General features: G+C 39.8%; 1 protein-coding gene across 2 annotated transcripts in view, besides 3 other annotated features; it reads left to right on the top strand.

Annotated features, from left to right (window-relative positions):
* Window positions 1-21,828, top strand: part of KPNA3 (karyopherin subunit alpha 3) — a 93,363-nt gene that overhangs the window by 11,973 nt on the left and 59,562 nt on the right. The window lies entirely within an intron of this gene.
* Window positions 18,503-19,223: an enhancer, noted in NCBI's record as "H3K27ac hESC enhancer chr13:50335623-50336343 (GRCh37/hg19 assembly coordinates)". NCBI's record gives its function as "activates a minimal SCP1, AML or CMV promoter by ChIP-STARR-seq in naive H9 embryonic stem cells {active_cell/tissue: H9 hESC(naive)}" and the evidence as "EXISTENCE:reporter gene assay evidence [ECO:0000049][PMID:30033119]".
* Window positions 19,224-19,944: an enhancer, noted in NCBI's record as "H3K27ac hESC enhancer chr13:50334902-50335622 (GRCh37/hg19 assembly coordinates)". NCBI's record gives its function as "activates a minimal SCP1, AML or CMV promoter by ChIP-STARR-seq in naive H9 embryonic stem cells {active_cell/tissue: H9 hESC(naive)}" and the evidence as "EXISTENCE:reporter gene assay evidence [ECO:0000049][PMID:30033119]".
* Window positions 21,033-21,102: a silencer, noted in NCBI's record as "silent region_5346". NCBI's record gives its function as "represses an Ori minimal core promoter by ATAC-STARR-seq in GM12878 lymphoblastoid cells {active_cell/tissue: GM12878}" and the evidence as "EXISTENCE:reporter gene assay evidence [ECO:0000049][PMID:35858748]".

Here is a 21,828-nt window from a genome sequence, read left to right as displayed (position 1 = left end):
TCAATATTCAGGTGTGGAGTAATTTGAAATTTGGGTAGGACAGACAAGAGCCAGATTGTGAAAAACCTTTTCGCTGGGGAACATTTTAAACAGTGAAATAGATTTGTGCATTTAGAAGCATTGCTTTGGTTATACCATAGGGGATGGATTGGTGAAGATGAGAAGAGAGTTTGGGAGTAACAGAAAACCCTCAAGGTCTCAGATGGGGAGTTTGGGAGTAACAGAAAACCCTCAAGGTCTCAGATGGGTGGCCTGACTATAGTGTTGGCACTGAGATTGAAAAGCAGAAAAAGTTATTAGGACTAATCTTTTGGCATATTTTACCTTATAGAATAGAGGTTGGCAAGTTTTTTGTAAAGAGCCATAATATTTTTTAAAAGCCTAAATATTAGGGCTTTGAGGGCCATTCTGCTTGTATTGCAGCTATTCACCTGTGTCTTGAGCGCAAAAGCAGCCATAGACTGTAGGCAAACAAATGAGTGTGGTTGTATTCTAATAAAGCTTTATTTATGAAATCAGTTGGGGGTCTAGATTTTGCTCACAGGCCCTTCTAGGCTAGCGTATCCAGTGGTGAAGATTAATAGCTCAAGCAATGGCTAGAGTAAGATGATAATATAGGTGAGGGATTGTAGGGATAAGAAGGAAAGAGGAGCAGGGGAGGAAAGAACCCTGAGGAACCAAATCATATTAGGAGAAGAGGTGAAAATGGTACTGAGGGAGTCTGTAGGAAGCTTAGCAGGAAAATGGTGTATAAGAACTTAGGGAGGAGAGTTTCCTGAAGGAGGGGCAGTAATTGCAGTATCAAATGCTACAGAGAGGAGAGGCATGATGAGACCTTACAATAAGCCATTCATTGTATTTGCTCTTTGGGGGCCAGTGAGAAGGGAAAACTGAGGGTGGTGGAGGCTGGAAGCTAGATCATGATGAGCTAAGGAGTGAGTTGGAGTTGAGCTATTTAGACTAGTTAGAGCTTTGATTTAAATATTTGGTAGTCATGGGAAGGAGGAATCACAGGTTAGCTTGAGGAAGACGTAGGGTGGAAAGAAGGCTGTTCGTTTGTTTTTTATTTGTTAAGAAGGGTGGTGTTGACTAGGCTAAACTGAAGAAGCCAGAGCAAAAGAGACCTGAGGACTTGGTTAGAAAAGGAACAAACGACTGAGCCTAGATAGAGTAAGTAGGGAGTTGTTGGGGAAGGGAATAAGAAATATAAGAGATGTGTGAGATGTGGAGAGATCTTGAAGCAGCCTCAGGTGGAAAGGACTTGAAGTACAGGCAGAAATGAGGATGGGCTGCATTAGGGGTAGGGAAACTGGAACAAATTATACTTAGTGGCCTCTATTTTCTTTGACAACGTTAACTATAGAGAATGAAGGGTCTAAGAGGTAATACTTGAAGGAAAGGTGTTTCAGGGTAAGCAAAATAGGATTTATATAGGAATGAAGGCCCAGCTGAGGTAAGTACTGTACTAGATTGTTATTTTGGTAACAGTAATGAACAATTTTCAGTTAATTATATAAGATTTAGCTATGAATGCATTCTGGATTTTAGTTAGAATTGTTAAACCAAATTCAAAGTGTGGAAGTCATTCAGTTGAATTGTTAAAAAAAAAAAATGGAACTAGCAGGAACGTTGGAATTTAATGAGTCCAACTCCTTTTTCACAGATGTGAAAATTTAAGGCGTAGAAAAATAATGAATGTTGTCCACTCATCTAGTTGGTAACCAGGTTTTCTGATTTCAGAAAATCAAAAATCACTTGTTTTTAATTATGTGTTTTATCATAACACACTTAACAAAAATTCTGGCTGGGCACAGTGGCTCACACCTGTAATCCCAGCACTTTGGAAGACAGAGGAGGGAGGATTGCTTGAGACTAGGAGTTCAAGACCAGCCTAGGCAATACAGTGAGACCTCATCTCTACACAAAATTTAAAAAGTAGGCAAGCATGGTGGTTCACAACCGTAGTCCCAGCTTGGGAGGCTGAGGTGGGAGGATCTCTTTAGTCCATGAGGTGGAGGCCACAGTGAGCTGAGATTGTACTGTCTCAGAAAAAACAACAACAAAAAAACAAAAGCTCTCTTTTATAAAACTTTCAAACATATGTAAAAGTAGAGAGAATAATATATTGAACTCCCATGTGGCATTTTAAAACAATTATAATTTATGGTCGTTTGTGTAATTTATATCTTGTTAAAAGAAAGTCCTTAGTCAAATTAAAGAGTTCAACTGAGCAAAGAATGATTCGTGAATAGGGCAGCCTCCTGAGCCACAGTATGTTCAGAGAGACTCCAGCACAGCCAGGTGGTGGAAGAAGATGTATAGACAGAGGTACAGAAACAGTCAGATTGGTTACAGCTCGGCATTTGCCTTATTTGAACATGGTTTGAACAGTTGGCCCCTTTTAACTGGCCAAAACTTGGTGATTGGCACAAAAGTAGGTTACAGTCTGTTTACACCTCCATTTAGATACATTTATAGTTCACTATGTACAGAGAAACCTTTAGACTGAACTTCAAATATGTAAGGAGACTGCTTTAGACTAAACTTGATTTAACAATCTCTACCCACTTCTACTCTTCCCTGCATTATTTTGAAGCGTCATCTATCAGTATTATGTTTCATCTGCCAAAATTTTAACATGTATGCCTAAAAGGTAAGACATATGGTAGTTTCAGTGTTTTTTCTCCTTTTAAAACATAAACCACAATATGGGTTAATGTGGATTATGTGGGCTAAGCAGGTTGATGTGGGTTAATGTGGGTTATGTGGGCTAAGCAGGTTGATGTGGTTAATTTTTAACTTCCAAAGATGTTTATAAGTTATTATGAGTAGACTTTTTGGAATAAAGGTTTCCTCATATTGCAGTATTTTGGAAAGTGATTTTACTAAAAAATAATACGGGCCAGGCATGTGGCTCATGCCCGTAATCTCAGCACTTTGAGAGGCCTAGGTGGGAGGACTGCTTGAAGCCAGGAGTTCTAGACCAGCCTGGGCAACAAAGTGAGACCCTACCTCTACAAAAAATACAAAAAAAAAAAAAAATCATCTGGGTGCATTGTCGTGTGCCTGTAGTCCAAGCTCCTTGGGAGGCTGAGGCACAAGGATTGTTTGACCTGAGGAGGTCAAGGCTTCACCAAGCACTGCACTACTGCACTCCAGCCCACGTGACAGAGTGAGACCCTGTCTCAAATAAAGAAAAAAATAAATAGTGTAACAACTGTTTATGTGGCATTTATATAATATTAGGTATTATAAGTAATCTAGAGATGATTTTAAAATATGTGGGAGGAGTGCATAGGTTATATGCAAATACTATGCCATTTTATATAAAGGGACTTATGCATCCTTGGATTTTGGTATTAGGAGGTCCTGGAACCTGTATACTTTCTTTGCATTTCCTGTTTCAGAAACACAAAAGGGGTACAGATCCAACTCTTCAGCATATCTTTGTGGTGTTTACAGAGGGTGTTAAGACAGATACTGTTGTTATTTTTCTTTATGCAAAATGATAATAATAGGGACTGAAAGGTAGAAAGCTGAATAGAGTATGGAGGAAGGTAGCTGAACAGGCATTGAAATAATTAGAGGGATTGGATATTGCATGTGCATTCCTCAACATTTGAATCAGCAGGAAAAAAGGAATTCAGTAGACTGAGAAGGATGATCATGTTGGCTAAGTATTGGGCTACAGATTGTAGAGATGCATATATGGGTGGTAGAGAAAAAGTAGAAACCAGCTTTTATACAGTGTTAACCTCAGCTAGCAGAGAGCAATGGACTATACAGTTAGTATCTTTTTATAAATTTGAACTGACTGTAAATTTGAAACTACTTCCATGACTATATGTATCTTGGTTTTGAAATAATATATACTTGGGAATGCTTATTGAGGTGCTTTTTTTGTCTTTTTAGATTATGCATAAATAAATTTTAGTTAACTTCAGCATCTGGTATTTTAAACAAGGGTCAGAAAAACATCAGAAATGGATAGAAGCATTTTTCAATAAATATTTTGGGAATGATCCTTGTATAACTTAATTTGTGTACTAATTCATATTAAGTATTCACTTATAGTTATTTTTCTATTTATTCTACTTACTAGTAGTTAAAAATTAACTATTTTTTAAAGGGAAGGGGAAGATGAAAATAAAAATTGTGATTCTAAATAAAATCTTAGCATTCAGATAGATTCACAGATATTACAGAGAAAATTTATAAGCTGATAATTCCTAGTTAGGATTATCATACTATTTAATGATAAAATGCGTATTTACTCCTGTATAATAAGAATAAATTCTCTTGGCTGGAATCCTTCAATAGATGTGAAAATAATTTAAAATGCTTCCTCACTGCTCTTGGGCAATTTAAAGTTACTGTCAGGGACTATGGCTGGTAACAACAGTGTGGTTTTCAGTTATCTGTTGAGTTCTGGAAACCTTGTTTTTGCTTGGAAGAAAGAATTGATACTTGGATGTTAAAGTTCTGTAGGGGTACAGCCTGGCGTGGTAGCTCATGCATATAATCCCAGCACTTTGGGAGGCTGAGGTGGGTGGATCTCTTGAGGCCAGGAGTTCGAGACCAGCCTGGTCAACATGGCGAAACTCTTGTCTCTACTAACAATACAAAAATAAAAAATAAAAAAGTTCGATAGGGGCTGGATATTTGCTTTTGTTTTCTAAATTTTGTGGATGTGGGGCTAGTGCAAACAAACATTTTTGTGTATCCTGTTGAACTCTTGAAACTGGAAAATTTGGGATATTTGAGAGGCTTGGAACTAAATAAATCCAATTTCGGAATACAGAGGGAGAAAGTACATGGGCTATTGTAGTACAAAAAGCATTGTCACTGAATATGACCCACCCCAAGTCCGATTGAACAAACAGGTTGTACAAACTCTTTTTTCAATATTGTGGAGCAAGAAGGAAATAAAAATGAATGAAACAAGATCCTTCTATTCAAGGGACATATTTAATAAGGTAAATAATAGCTAAAGGCAACTATAAAACAGAACAGGATAGTTTAGTAAGAGTAAAGGAAGTTTGGGAACACAGAGAAAAGATAGGTGTGAATTACAGCCTTAGAGATTTGCGAGGGCTTCTTGGTGGGGATGAACTGGGCCTTGAATGTTTCATGGTTTGATGAAGATGTATAAGTTAGAAAAGCAGAAACAAATATTTTTTAAAGCTGGTTTGTTTGTGACAGTGTACAGCCATATGGATGAACTTCTCCCTAGTTTGTCACAGTGACCCAGGGTATTAGCATGAGAGCCTGTTTGGTCAGTGTTTCCCATGTGGTGTGCTGCCCTAGGGGTGGCCACCCGGGGATTTGGGTGGTGGAGCCTATGTAGCCTTGTCCTTTTATCTCAGTATGCTGTATAAATATTTTCTGTGCATGCCATGATATGAAAGTGGTTGGGAAGCACTATTTTAACTTACTAAATATTTCTCTCCTGGTAATAAATTCTTTAGTATATTGCTTAGTGTTTGTCAAAAATAGCTAGAATATATTCTTTTTTCTTTTTTCTTTTTTTTTTTTTTTTTTTTTTTTGAGACAGAGTCTCACTCTGTCGTCTGAGTGCACTCACTCTGGAGTGCAATGGCATGATCTCCGCTCACTGCAACCTCCGCCTCCCAGTTCAAGGGATGCTCCTGCCTCAGCCTCCCAAGGAGCTGGGATTACAGGTGTGTGCCACCATAAGTGGCAAATTTTTGTATTTTTAGTAGAGGCAGGGTTTCACCAGGTTGGTCAGGCTAGTCTTGAACTGTTGACCTCAGGTAATCCACCTGCCTTGGCCTCCCAAGTGCTGGGATTACAGGCATGAGCCACCATGCCTGGCCGAATATTTTCATAATGAGAACACATTCCTAATTAGTTGTATTAGTTACCAGTGCAGGAGTCTTCTGATAACGTTAGACATAGCTCCATGCAGCAGTTAGGGGGCATAGCCAGGTTTATCACCTTCATTCTAAGTTTTTGTATTTGTGAATGTGATGACATTATGTGAGGACATGATATGCTTGTGGTCATGGCTAAACTTTAAATATAATTTAACCAACATATCCCTCCCTATGCTTTTCTTTTGTTTTGGTAACATAGTAAATATTGGACCTATTTCTGAGAGAACTGTATAGTGTTTACAGCAGTGCAGGTATTAGGGAGGAAGGGATGTTGGGCAGATCTGCTTAGGGTAAAGATAGCCTTGAGAGGAGGTCCAGAGCTCTCTTGTCTAAAAGGCAGAGAAGGGAGAATGAGCAAAAGAGAAATCTAAAAGTTCTGAATTTATAAACCAGAGGAAACCAGGCAGCTGGACATCCAGGCCTAGGTGTTATAGGAGACCCCTAGTTATGACTGCTGCCAGGTGTTGAATTCGGGGTATAACTGTAGATTGTTGGGGCTGTGGCTCATGTGGCTTTAATTAATCTTTTTCTCTTTTTAAAGAATCCATTAATTTATTGAAGTGGAGAAATTGGAGTCTCTGCTGACTTGTATCAAGAAAAAGAACTAAGACCTGGTGTGGTGGGTCACACCTGTAATCCTAGCACTTTGGGAGGCTGAGGCAGGGGGATCACTTGAGCGCAGGAGTTTGAGACTAGCCTGGGCAATATGGCAGAACCCCATCCCTTAAAAAAAAAAAAATTAGCCTGGGTTTAGTGGCACACACCTGTGGTCCCAGCTACTTGGGAGGTTGAGGTGGGAGGATCACCTGAGCCTGGGAGGTTGAGGCTGCAGCGAGCCATGATCACACTACTGCATTCCAGACTGGGTGACAGAGCAAGAGCTGTCTCAAAAAGATGACTATGAATGGGATAGTATTGGTGCTATAGACTTTCAGAATATGGTTACTTCTTCCTTTCTTTTTTCTTTTGGTGAGGTAGGAGTTATCTGGTGCCTAGAGTTGTTTTAGGGACCTTCAGAAAATATATAACACCTTCCTGCTCTTGTTCAGTTCTTCTGCCTAGTAGACTTCAGCAGTGTGAGTTTGGTTTTATAACTACTGTAAAGTCATTTTTACATGAACTGCTCACCACTTAGTCCTAATTATCATTGGAACATAAAATGGACAAAACATTAAAATAGGTGTCATGTAAATGTTATTGTAAATTTTATTTATTTATAACACTCTTGAAGGTTTATTAGTTTTTGACTGCTTACAATTTTTTTTAATTACAGGGAATATTTATCAGCCGCCCCAAGTGTTGATAAGCAACACAGATCCAAGTGCATAATATGGTATTAATAGGATAAAAAATTAGGACATTGGTAATTATATCATCGAAAAAATCTTTGAGGCAGATTAATTTAGAAAGGACTTCAAATAATTTAAGTACTTCTCAGAATAATTAACATTAAAAAATTACAGAAGTAATACACATCAGTATTTAGCTTGATGAGTTTTGACAAATGATTACCTCCTTGTAACCACCATTGCAATCAAAATGTAAATATTTCTGTCTTCCCAAAAGTTCCTCCATATCCCTTTGCAGTAACCCCTTCCTGTCCCTAACCCTTAGGCAAATATTAATCTGCTTTCTTTCATTGATCAGCTTGCCTTTTCCAGAATTTCGTTTAAATGTGATGACAATACATACTCCTTTTGTGTCTGATTTTTTTAAAACTTAATATTAACATTAATATTTTGTGTACCTAAAGTTCATTCTTCTTAATTGCTGACTCATATTCATTATATGAATATACCACAACAGTAGGCCATTTACCTACCGTTGGCCATTTGAGTTGTTACTAGTTTTTGGCAATTGTAAGTAAGACTGCTATGAATATTTGTTTATAAAGCTATGTGTATGTCTTTTGGATCAGTACAAGTCTATGTGTTTCTCTGTTGTATCAATACCTAGGAACAGAGTGGCTGGGTCATATAAGTGTGTATTTAACTGTCTTTATTTATTTTGAGACAGAGTCTTGCTTTTGTCACCCAGGCTGAAGTGCAATGGCATGATCTCAGCTCATTGCAGCCTCTGCCTCTTGGGTTCAAGCAATTCTCCTGCCTCAGCCTCCTGAGTAGCTGGGATTACAGACGTGCGCCACCATGCCCTGCTAATTTTGGTATTTTTAGTAGAGATGGGGTTTCACCACGTTGGCCAGGCTGGTCTGGAACTCCTGACCTCAGGTGATCCACCTGCCTCAGCCTCCCAAAGTGATGGGATTACAGGTGTGAGCCACTGTGCCCAGCCCAACAGTATTTAGAAACTTTGAAATTCTTTTCCAAGGTGGTTGTCCTATTTTACATTCACCAACAGTGCGAGAATTCTAATTGTTCCACATGCTCACCAATACTTTGTTTTGCCAGTCTTTTAAATTTTCATTATTTTACCAAGTGTGTAGAGATGTCTTATTATGGTTTTATTTTGCATTCTTCACATTCTCTTGATGAAGAGCATCTGAAAAATCCACAGCTTATGTCATATTAATGGTGTAAATGTAAAGCTTTCCCCCTAAGATCAGGAATAAGACAACCGTATTCATTGTTGTTCTTCCTATTCAGTATTGTACCAGATTTTCTAGCCAACACAATTAGGCAAGAAAACAAGATGAAAGATAACCAGGTTGGAAAATAAGAATTAAAACTCTTTATTTGCAAATGATATGATCTTCTGGATAGAAAATTCTAAAGAACTCACTTAAAAACTATTAGAGCTAATAAATGATTTCAACAAGGTTGCAGGATACAAGATCAGTATACAAAATCAATTGTATTTTAGTATACCAGCAATGGGCAATCTAAAATTAAAACAGGCCAGGTGTGGTGGCCTATACATGCCTATACTTCCCAAAATTTAGGAGGCTGAGACAGGTGGGTTGCCTGAGCCCAGGAATTCAAGACCAGCCTGGGCAACATGGCTAGATCCCGTCACTACAAAAAAAATACCAAAATTAGCTAGGTCTGATGGTGTGTACCTGTAGTCCCAGCTACTCTAGAGGCTAAGGTGGGAGGATCACTTGAGCTTGGGAAGTCAAGACCACAGTGAACTGTAATTGTGTTACTATGATGAGCAGTAGAGCCTCCAGCCTGGGTGAGACTAAATAAGCAACAGAGTGAGACCCTGTCTCAAAAATAAATAAAATCAAAAATTTAAAAAGCTGGGTGTGGTAGCATATGCCTGTAGTCCCAGCTACTTGGGTGCAGAGGAGGGAGCCTTGAGCTGGAGAGGTTGAGGCTGCAGTGAATGGTGATTGCGCCACTGGCACTCCAGCGGGGGTGACAGAGTGAGACCCCGTCTTAAAAAACAAAATAACAATTTTGTTACAACAGCATTACAAAGAATAAAATGCTCAGGAATAAATTCAGCAAAAGTGTAAGACTTATTTTCTTTATCAGGAATTCATTGTTTACTGAAAGTTTAAGACTTGTATGCTGAAAACTACAACTTCATTGAAAGAAAGATCTAAGTAAATGGAAATATATTTCATGTTCATGGATTGGAAGAGTTAATGTTAAGCTGCAGTAATCTCCAAATGAACTAAGAGATTCAATGCAATTTCCCATAAAATCCAAGCTGACTTGCCTTTTTTCTTTTTTTCTATTCTTTTCTTTTGGCTTCTTTTTCTCTTCCTCTTCTTTTTTTTTTTTTTTTGAAATATCAACAAGTTGATTCTGAAATTTGTATGGAATTGCAAAGGACCCTGAATAACCAAAGCAAAACTTGAAAAATAAGAACTAAGTTGAAGGACTCATATTTATATTTAGCAATTTCAGAATTTACAGAACAAGCAAACCTATAGTAATTAAGACTGTGTGATACTGGCATAAGGATAGACATATGGACCAATGGAATAGAATTGAGAGTCCAGAAAGAAACTTTCACATTTACCAGTTATATTTTCGGGGGTTTTTTCTTTTCTTTTTTTTTTTTTTTTTTGGTAGGTGGGTAGGTCAATTGATTTTCAGCAAGGGTGGCAAAACAGTATTACAAGGAAGGAATAGTTTTTTTTTTTCAACAAATGGAACAAATGACTATCCACATACAAGAGAATACTGGAGCCTTACACAGTATGCAAAAACCAACTCAAAGTTGATTAAAGATATACATGTAAAAACTAAAATGTGTAAACTTCTCAGAAGAAAACATCTGTGTAGATCTTTGTAACCTTGGCACTGGTTTCATAGTACCACCTTAAAAGCACAAGTGACAAGAGGAAATATAGGTAAATTGGACTTTATCAAAATTAAAATATTTTGTACTTCAAAATACGCCATCAAGGAAGTAGAAAAGTGGCCAGGCATAGTGGCTCGCTCACACCTGTAATCCCAGCACTTTGGGAGGCCAAGGTGGGAGAATCACCTGAGCCTAGGATTTCGAGACCAGCCTAAACAGTGTAGTGAGACCTCGTCTTTATAAAGAATTTAAAAATTTGCCTGGTGTGGTGGTGCACATCTGTAGTCCAAGCTGCTTGGGAGGCTGAGGTGGGAGGATCACTGGTGCCCAGGAGGTTGAGGCTGCAGCAAGTGGTAATCATGCCTACCTGGGCATCAGAGTGAGACCCTGTCTCCAAAAAAAAAAAAAAAAAAAAAAAGCAGCCCACAAATGGGAGGAAAAAATTGCACATCATACATCCATTAAAGGTACTACTTAACATCCAGAATTTGTAAAGAACTACAGCTGAACAATACAAAGACAGTCTAGTTTAAAAAGGGGCAAGGACTTGGACAGTTCCCTGAAGGAGGCATACAAATGACCAACAAACACATGAAAAGATGCTTAATGTTATTAGTCATTAGGGAAGTGCAAATCAAAAGCAAGAGATATCATTTCACGTACACTAAAATGGCTAAAATCAAACAAATAATAGCATTGGGAAGGATAAGTAGAAATTGGAATTCTAATACGCTTCTGGTAGGATGTGCAGCAACTTTAGAAAATAGCAGTTCGAGATGTTAATCATAGAGTTCCCATATCACCTAGCAATTTTATTCTTAGGTATGTGTCCAAAAGATGAAAAACACGTACATGAATGCTTGTTATAGCATTATCATAATATCCCCAAAGTGGAAACAACCCAAATGTCCTTGAATGGAAGAATAGGTAGATAAAATGGGGTATGTCCATACAGTAGAATATTATTCAGCAATAAAAAGGAGTAAAGTATTTATACATGCTACAGCATGGATGAATCTCAAAAACATGCTAAGTGAAGAAGCCAGACATGAAAGTCCACATATTATATGATTCCATTTGTATGAAATGTCCAGGCAATCAAATCCATTGATACAGAAAGTAGATTAGTGATTGCCAGGGGTTGTGGGAAGGAGCATGGGGAACAAATGCTAAAGGGTATGTGATTTCTTTTTGTGGTGATGAGAATGTTCTAAAATTAGGTAGTGGTGATGGTTATACAACTCTGTACTAGAAACCACGGAACTTATCCTTTTAGGATAAATTTTATGGCGTGGGCATTATATCTGAATAAAGCTGCTACTAAAATAAAAAGGAAAAATACACCTAATAGTAGCATAAATTACCTAGTTAAGTCATTTTCAGAATGGAGTTTATGTAGTAAAAGTAACGTGGCATTCTGGCTTCTAGTAATGGTGCAATACTGTAGAGTTACCTTCCTATAGATAACAATGATAATATCTGGACAAAATACATTAATTTTTCTTTAAAGGTACTGGAGAGTGATCAAAAGCAGACAAACTGGAGGAGAGCCTATTCTTAAAACATAACTATCTTGTGAAATTCATGAGTTGGTGGGTTTTTGTCTGAGGGTGCTCTGTAATCCTCCTGCTACTTGGTGAAGAATACCACAACCTTATTTGCATGAAATGTAAGGATACAGAGTTCTGGGCTAACAGAACAGCAAGAAACTTAGTGGGTAAATCCTGGAAGAGAGGCAGCTACAAAGAAAGTGAGTCCAAAAAAATTCGCATATAAGATCTGTCCAAATTCTTGGCAGTTTTTAAATACTATGCATGCAGTGGTGGCATGTGTAGTACATGTATGTGTGGCACACAAGTTGGGTTCTTGACATTTAGTAGGTAGAACATTAACTCTGAATAGATTGTTTTAAGTTAAAGTCACAGTTGTGATCCCTAGTGAGAAATCTCAAAATTAAAAGATGAACCTAAATGCCAGGAGAGGAATATCTAATGGAATGCTAAAAAAAAAAAAAAAAAAAAAAAAAAAAATTGATTAACCCAAATGAAGACAGGCCGGCAGGAAGAGAAATAAAAAACAAACGAGATGATCAAAAACAAAAATACCATAATGAAATGCCTGATTTCAACAATATCAGTCATTATGATACATTTAAATTGACTAAAGCATCCCGATTAAAAGGCAGAGATTGTCAGACTGGATTAAGAAGCAAGACCCAACTGCATACTGTCCATTTTAAATACATTTTGCACTATGTAGTGCATTTTGGCTACAGTGCATATTGGCTTCTATGTAGCAGCTTTTTTTTTTTTTTTTTTTGAGACAGAGTCTCGCACTGTTGCCCAGGCTGGAGTGCAGTGGCGCGATCTTGGCTCACTGCAGCTTCAGCCTCCCAGGTTCAAGCGATTTTCCTGCCTCACCCTCCTGAGTAGCTGGGATTACAGGCACCTGCCACCACGCCCGGCTAATTTTTTGTATTTTTAGTAGAGACGGGGTTTCATTATGTTGGGCAGGCTGATCTCAAACTCCAGACCTTGTGATATGCCTGCTTTGGCCTCCCAAAGTGCTGGGATTGTGTAGCAGCATTTTAAATACAAAGACACAGTTTGAAAGTAGAAAGATGAAAAAATATAATAGTGATATGTACATTTTGGACTATGTAAGGTAGGTTTGTTGTTGGTACTCACATTGTAACTTAGTAATAAAGCACAAGTTTTAATGAATGCTTTATATAGGTATACTTTACTTTGTACAGTAAACAAGTCATATTTTGTAGATGTTCAGTAAGGACTTGTTATGGAAGGTACTTTCACTGTACTGTCCCAGAGATAGATTGTGATATCCTCGTTTCCTAAGTGGGGACTCTGGGGTTCAGAGAGGTTAAGTAATAGGTTCAGGATCACATAGCTAGTTAGTGACAGAGCCACTCTTATGGTCTTTCCATTGTGTAGCTCTTGTGGCTTTAATACCTAAGAAGGTACATAGGAATAGATTTTTTTGCAATTTGAGTCACATTTTTTAAAGCAGCTTTAAACTGTACACAATTTGATACTCTTTCACACACGTACATACACTGATGAAACCATCACCACAATCAAGATAATGAAAATATAATTTGTAATAGTTCTTTTTATTCTAATTTAATTGATATTATTCTTTTTTTCTTCTTTTTTTTTTTTTTATTGAGACAGAGTCTTGGCTCTGTCGCCAGGCTGGAGTGCAGTGGCGTGATCTCGGCTCACTGCAACCTCCACCTCCTGGGTTCAAGCAATTCTGCCTCAGCCTCCTGAGTAGCTGCGACTACAGGCGCCTGCCACCACGCCTGGCTAGTTTTTGTGTTTTTAGTAGAGACGGGGTTTCACCATGTTGGCCAGGCTGGTCTCGAACTCCTGACCTCAAGTGATCCGCCCACCTCGGCCTCCCAAAATGCTGGGATTACAGGCGTGAGCCACTGCACAGGCCTAATTGATATTATTCTTGTATTAAATTATTTCATGGTATTGCTCTAAAATTTTAAACTCTTAGGACATAATGTCCTGTGTTTAGTCCTAAACCTATACTTTCAGTCAGAACTTAAAATTATAAAAAAAAAAAAAAAAATCCTAACTTGATTACCTCTGTGAAGAGGAAAAAAAAAAAAAAAGGAATCCCATTTCAGTTATTTGTAAAGTGAAAAATCTCACTCCCTTCTTAATTTTTTAAAAAAATTCTAGTTGATATCTTGTAATATTAACGCAGTGGAATTTTCTGTCTGCAGTGGAGTAGGAATAGGCTTTTTTGGAAGGGTAAAACAAGCTTTAATTTTTGATGTTAGGTTTATTAATAAACTTCTCCACCCCCTGCTATATTTTTTTAATCTGTAACTGGCAGACCAGTGGAACTGGATAGAGAAGGAAGTTTGAAGTTTCCGATTTATTCTTAATTTCACATACTAGAAAAGACTTTTTAGATCAAAATAATGCTTGTCTTCCAGAGAGGATGCCATTCAAATAGCAAATTTAATATAATTTCTGCTATTTAGATTCTAAGTTATTTGATTTTTAGTTACTCTTATAGAGAGGCTAAATGTTTCAAATTTTGGATGGTCTCACTAGCACAGGAAGAGAACAGGTTCATAATCCAAAATTATAAAACACAGGAAGAAATATATCACAGATAATACAGACACCAAAAACGTCAGTCTTATGTCTCCTAAGAAATTCAGCAATAGAGGTAATCAGAGAAAGACTGTAAAATAAATATTTTTAAGATGATTGAATCATTTTAAGAAGGACCTAAAAACATTAAGAAGTACTACAAAAATAAACTTGCTAGAAATGAAAAATAAATCATTGATGTTAAAACCTCAATGGACAGGAAAAGTAATGGCATTTAATATTGGAAATGGAGATTACAACCTGTAGACAGAAAAGGGAAACAAACATTGATGACTGCCTGCTTCGTGACACGAGCTGCTTTTATTAATGTTTATTTTATTTAATTCTTGGAACTACTTTTTGAGGTAGTTGAATATCCCACTTTTAGAGAGTGCTGTTATCTACAGATAAGGTGAAAACAGTAAATTAAGTAAGACCAGTGAGGAAAATGATGAACTCAGTTTTGAATGTCTTAAGGAACATGTGGGGTTTTCTAGGGAGTGATCCAGGAGATACTTTAGTTCAGGAGAGAGATCCGGGCTTAAAATTTTAAGCTGCTTAAATTCCCAAGGTTATGGGACTTGCAGAACACACCAAAATCTGTTTACTTAGAAATACAGCAGTTTACTTAAAGGATGCTAGCTAAAGGGAGCTATAATTGGAGGGGTGATTGACGTCTGACATCTGACATTTTATGTCAGCATTTTCAAATCTATAGAGACAAAAAGTAGATAAATGGTTTTGTAAGACTGAGATGGGGAGCTTGGTAGAATGGTAAGTGTCTGCTAAAGGATAAAAGGTTTCTTTATGTAGTGATGAAAATATAGGCCAGGCGCGGTGGCTCATGCCTGTAACCCAGCACTTTGGGAGGCATAGATGGGAGGATCACTTGAGCCCAGGAGTTTGAGACCAGCTTGGGCAATATAGTGAGACCTCCTCTCAGAAAATATGATAAAATTGATTGTGTTAATAGTTTTATAACTCAGTGAAATACACTAAAAACCATTGAATTGTATGTATACTTTAGGTGAATTGTTGGTAAGTGAATTATATCTCAAAGCTGTTATGACAAAAAAGGTAATGGTTCCACATTGCTGTATTGATTAATCATAACCTAGAATATATACAGGTGAGCAAAATAATAAATAGTACGTTTTAGATGCCAGATACAAATATTTTTCTGTATTTAAAGATTAACTAGATTTTCCCTTACATGTATTCTATTTATAACATTGAAAAGTTACATATTACTGCCCAATTCAGAATTCATCAGGAAACAAATCTGGATTATCCAGAGTTATTAATACTTAATTGATAATTGAAGCCATGGAGATATATATGATAACCTAGAAAGGGTTTGTAGAGTAACTAGATGAATAGGCAAAACCTTGGGAAGAGCAACATGGATGGATGAAGGAGGAAGACCAAAGAGGAGGAAAACCAGGAATGTGGTGTTATGGAAGTCAAGGAGATGAGAATGAATGAAGTGTTCTCCCGCAAAGGTACCATGTAATTAAGGATTGTGTTCCATGAATAGAAGGTTGCTGATAATGTTGGCAAGAGCAGAGCCAATGGAATTTTGGATGGAGTGGACTAAATAAGTAGAAGTGAAGACAGTCTAGACTACTTTTTCAAAAATTTTGGCAAAAGAGAACAGGAACTAGTTAAAAGAAAATGTAGATTGAGAAAGGTTCTTTTTTTTTTTTTTAAGTGAAAGACATGGTCATGCTCATGATATGGGAAATAGAATACTTGAAAGATGGGAGAGAGGAGATGGATAATTGATGAAGCAAGGGGACAGTTGATGAGAGAATAATTAGATTCAGTGCACAGCTAGCCACCTCTTGCACTGTCATTGTGATAGGATGAAAGGAGACAGGGATCTTGGGATTGGGGAGGAGATTTGGACGTGCACGTTAGGAAGTTGAGGGAGTTGCTACTATCTGATAGTTTCTGTTTTCTCAATAAATATGAGGCCTGGTCTTCTGCTGAGAGGAAGGACGATTTGGAAGGGGGCTTGAGCAGTAGCTTTTTGTGCAAAATCTAACTAGGAAAGCCTGGAAAGATTTCCAGACAGTAAGCATTGAGAGCTTAATTGAGGTTAGAGACCTAGAATTTGTTATACCTATAATGGAGGTTGAGTAATTTATTTTTTCTGTTGCACACTTAGCAACTCAGCTTTTGGAGTGAGAATTGAAACAACCCAGAGTTAACTTTTCACCAGGGCAACAGGATAGAAGTACAAGAGTTAGAGTTGATGAAGTATGAGGACTATATAAGAAGGAAACAAAAACAGAGCGAGATTCTGTCTCAAAAAAACAAAACAAAACAAAACAAAACAAACCCAACAGACTAAAAACTGACAAACTGACTCTTTTTTTTTTTTTTTTTTTTTGAGACAGGGTCTCTCTCTGTTACCCAGGCTGGAGTGCAGTGGGACAATCACAGCTCACCACAGCCTCAACCTCTTGGGCTCAGGCGATCCTTCCATCTCAGTCTCCCGAATAGCTGAGACTCCAGGTGCACAGCACCACACCCAGCTAATTTTTAAAAATCTTTTTGTAGAGATGTCTCATTATGTTGCCCAGCCTGTTCTTGAACTCCTGGGCTGAAACACTCCTCCCACCTCAGCCTCCCAAAGTGCTGGGATTGCTGGTGCCCACCACCTCACCCAGCTAATTTTTGTAGTTTTAGTAGATGGGGTTTCACCAAGTTGGCCAGGCTGGTCTTGAACTCCTGACCTCAGATGATCTGCCCACCTAGGCCTCCAAAGTGCTGGGATTACAGGTGTGAGGCACTGCACCTGGCCAGTTTTTAGTCTGTTGCTTTTTGAAGATAATCTGTTTTTCTCTGGCTCCTTCTAGGATATTTTCCTCCTGGGAAAAGAAATCTTTTTATTTTCCCACTTGGAGTTTGTTGGGTGTCTTGAATCTGTGGTTTATTGTTTTTTATCAATTCTGGAAAATTCTTAGCTATTATCTCCTAACAGTTGCTTCTGTCCAGAGGAACCCAAACAAACACTGTTTTGTATTTTTTATTGTATCCTTTATGTTTCTTACCCTCTTTTCTATATTTGTCATCTTTGGCCCTCTTTTATTTCATAATTGACGGTTTCTTCTGACCTGTCTTAAAGTTCACAGAATCTCTTAAACTACTTTAAATTTGCTGTAAAACCCATCTGTTCAGTTCTTAATTTTGGTTATGTGTCTAACTTAATAATTATTTTTTCATATCTCAGAGTTCTGTTTGGTTCTTTTCATTTTTCAGATCTGGTCATTTCTGATCATTTCTTCTGGCTTGCTGATATATTTTACTTCCATTTTTCTGTTCCTGAAATATTTGCTGTAGTTATTTTATGTTGTATAACCTAAGTGTTAATTTAGGTTTAACTCTCCAACCTGGCATCAGGGGTCAGGACTTAATTTGTTCCCAGTATGAAATAGGCAGCTACCTTCATAGTTTTCATTTCACTTAATTACTTTTTATGACTTCCCTCTTAGGTTCAACTTGACCGACCTCTCCTCTTCTTTTTTTGTTTTTTAAGCCAGCCTTGGTGTAAACTTTATTTATTTATTTTTTTAATTTAATTTTATTTTTTTTATTGATCATTCTTGGGTGTTTCTCGCAGAGGGGGATTTGGCAGGGTCATAGGACAATAGTGGAGGGAAGGTCAGCAGATAAACAAGTGAACAAAGGTCTCTGGTTTTCCTAGGCAGAGGACCCTGCGGCCTACCGCAGTGTTTGTGTCCCTGGGTACTTGAGATTAGGGAGTGGTGATGACTCTTAACGAGCATGCAGCCTTCAAGCATCTGTTTAACAAAGCACATCTTGCACCGCCCTTAATCCATTTAACCCTGAGTGGACACAGCACATGTTTCAGAGAGCACAGGGTTGGGGGCAAGGTCATAGATCAACAGCATCCCAAGGCAGAAGAATCTTTCTTAGTACAGAACAAAAATGGAGTCTCCTATGTCTACTTCTTTCTACACAGACACAGCAACAATCTGATTTCTCTATCTTTTCCCCACATTTCCCCCTTTTCTATTCCACAAAACCGCCATCATCATCATGGCCCGTTCTCGATGAGCTGTTGGGTACACTTCCCAGACGGAGTGGTGGCCGGGCAGAGGGGCTCCTCACTTCCCAGCAGGGGCGGCTGGGCAGAGGCACCCCCCACCTCCCGGACGGGGCGATGGCCGGGCGGAGGCGCCCCCCCTCCTCCCTCCGCGACGGGGCGGCTGGCCGGGCGGGGGCTGCCCTCCACCTCCCTCCCGGACGAGGCGGCTGGCCGGGCGGGGGCTGCCCCCCACCTCCCTCCCGGACGGGGAGGCTGGCCGGGCGGGGGCTGCCCCCCACCTCCCTCCCGGATGGGGCGTCTGCCGGGCGGAGATGCTCCTGACTTCCCAGACGGGGCGGCTGCCGGGCGGAGGGGCTCCTCACTTCACAGACGGGGCGGCTGCTGGGCGGAGGGGCTCCTCACTTCTCAGATGGGGCGGCTGCCGGGTGGAGGGGCTCCTCACTTCTCAGACGGGGTGGCTGGGCAGAGACGCTCCTCACCTCACAGACGGAGTCGTGGCTGGGCAGAGGCGCTCCTCACATCCCAGACGGGGCGTCTGGGCAGAGGCGCTCCCCACATCTCAGACGATGGGCGGCCGGGCAGAGATGCTCCTCGCTTCCTAGACGGGATGGCAGCCGGGAAGAGGCGCTCCTCACTTCCCAGACTGGGCAGCCGGGCAGAGGGGCTCCTCACATCCCAGACGATGGGCGGCCAGGCAGAGACGCTCCTCACTTCCCAGACGGGGTGGCGGCTGGGCAGAGGCTGCAATCTCGGCACTTTGGGAGGCCAAGGCAGGCGGCTGGGAGGTGGAGGTTGTAGCTAGCCGAGATCATGCCACTGCACTCCAGCCTGGGCAACATTGAGCACTGAGTGAACGAGACTCCGTCTGCAATCCTGGCACCTCGGGAGGCCGAGGCTGGCAGATCACTCGCGGTTAGGAGCTGGAGACCAGCCCGGCCAACACAGCGAAACCCCGTCTCCACCAAAAAAATACGAAAACCAGTCAGGCGTGGCGGTGTGCGCCTGCAATCGCAGGCACTCGGCAGGCTGAGGCGGGAGAATCAGGCAGGGAGGTTGCAGTGAGCCGAGATGGCAGCAGTACAGTCCAGCTTCGGCTCGCCATTAGAGGGAGACCGTGGGGAGAGGGAGAGGGAGACTGTGGGGAGAGGGAGAGGGAGACCGTGGGGAGAGGGAGAGGGAGAGGGACCCTCTTCTCTACTACTTATATGACATCAGCACTGCATTAAAAAATATTTTTTTCTGTTAATAGCCAGGATCCAGTTGTTGTAGAACAGGTGACCTCCCAAAGTATGACGTCTTTCAGAAGTAACATATACTGTTTTTGTCCTACTTTTTTGTTATTAAGAATATGTATGTTATTTAAAATATAGGAATTCTTTTTAAAAACACGATACCATTATCACACTTGCCAACGTGATCATGGGGGGAAAGGGCAGCAGTGCTGGTGCAAGTCCTGGAATCCGAAGACCATAGAATCTGGAGTTCTGACAGCAAGAATTACTCTTGCCTCCTCTTTTTGTTCCATCTGGGCCCCAGCTTATTGAATGCTGCCCACCCACATTGAGAGTGAAACTTCCCCTATCAGTCTACTAACTCAAATGCCAGTCTCTTCAGGAAATACCCTCACAGGCACTGGGACAGCCCAGTCATTCTAATCAAATGCCTGACCGCCCGGGTTTTCCTTTCAGCAGAAGAGGGACGAGCTCAGTGCTGTCTGAACCACTGAGGATAATTAATGCTTTCACCAGCTATCTGGGTATCCCTTAATCCAGTCAGGTTGACACCTGGAATCAACTATTACAAGGTCCACACATTGCGATTGATTGATTGATGTGAACTCAAAGTCTCCTTTTTAATTTATGGTCTCTTAATCTCACCATCTTTGTCTTTTTTATGCACTTTATTGTTGGAGAAACTGGGTTCATGGAGGTTCTCATAATCTGAATTTTGCTTTTTTTTTTTTTTTTTTGAGATGGGATCTCACTCTGTCACCCAGGCTGGAGTGCAGTGGTGTGATCTTGGCTCACTGCAACCTCTGCCTCCTGGGCTCAAGCAGTCCTCCCACCTCAGTCTCCTGGGTAGTTGGAATCACAGGCATGTACCACCATTCCTGGCTGAGTTGTTTTTTGTATTTTTGGTAGAGATGGGATTTCATCATGTTGCCCAGGCTGGTCTTGAACTCCTGAGCTCAAGCAGTCTTCTTGGATTGCTGGGTTTACAGGCATGAGCCACCGTGCCCGGCTGGATTTTACATCTTATCATGTCACTTGACATGTGTATTGGCCCTCTGTATTTCCTGTAAATTCAAAGTTGAAGCTGGAGGCTTTATCAGATTCAGATGATTTGGGGGAATTGGGAACATGACTGCATCATATGTGATGGTTTTCTCTTCCATCAGAAAGGCACGTAGTGTCTGGCTGTCTCTTTCTGTTATGTTGACATCACCACTGAGGAACATTGTCTAAGTCTGTTATTTACTAGGATTTGTAAAATGGTGATAATCTATCACTCCTTCTTTAAGCTAGACCAGGGATCCCCAACCCTGGACCACTACCAGTCCGTGGCCCATTAGGAACTGGGCTGCACAGTAGGAGGTAGGCAGCAGGCAAGCAAGTGAAGCTTCATCTGTATTTACAGCTGCTCCTCATTGCTTGTATTACCACCCGAGCTCCACTTCCTGTCAGATCAGCAGCTGCATTTGATTCTCAAAGGAGCACAAACCCTGCTGTGAACTGTGCATGCGAGTGATCTAGGTGCATGTTCCTTATGAGAATCTAATGCCTGATGATCTGTCACCATCTCCCATCATCCCCAGATGGGACCTCTAGTTGCAGGAAAACAAGCTCAGGCCTCCCATTGATTCTACATTATGGTGAGTTGTGTAATTATTTCATATTACAATATAATAATAATGGAAATAAAGTGCACAATAAATGTCATGCACTTGAATCATCCTGAAACCACTCCTTCTACTTCCTAGTCCATGGAAAAATTGTCTTCTGTGAAACTAGTCCCTGGTGCCAAAAAGTTTGGGAACAGCTGAGCTAGACTACATCTATTAAGAGAAACCTTCCTCTCATTTATTAATTGGTTAGATTACCCCATGATAAAATTTGTTTAGAAACAGTAAAATAAATGCTTGATTCTTTTCCTTTATCAGTTTTCAAAATAATGAGGTAGTTCATTATCATCCTTCAGTGATGACAATTTAGTTGTTTGGGTTTTTATTTCCATTTCCTGGATTTACAGATTGAAATCTATGTGTGTTTGAATTCATTGTCTTATTGATAATTGATAATAATTGTATTGTCTTTGAACATTTGGAGCCTCTTCATGTTAGCTCTTGAGTAGTTTTTACAAGACTCTAGTCTCGTAAATATCTTTGATATTTGGTATGTTAAGATATTGCAGGCTTACCTTGTACCTTTTCTGCCCATTAGTTGGAATGAACCAGTTCTGTTTGCTATTGGTGGTATTTTTGAGAGTATTGTCTATGCACTCA

This window comes from Homo sapiens, chromosome 13 (genome assembly GCF_000001405.40).
Source record: "Homo sapiens chromosome 13, GRCh38.p14 Primary Assembly".
Lineage (NCBI taxonomy): Eukaryota > Metazoa > Chordata > Mammalia > Primates > Hominidae > Homo > Homo sapiens.
The sequence above is the reverse complement of the archived record's forward strand: the minus strand, read 5'-3'. Positions and strand labels throughout refer to the sequence as shown.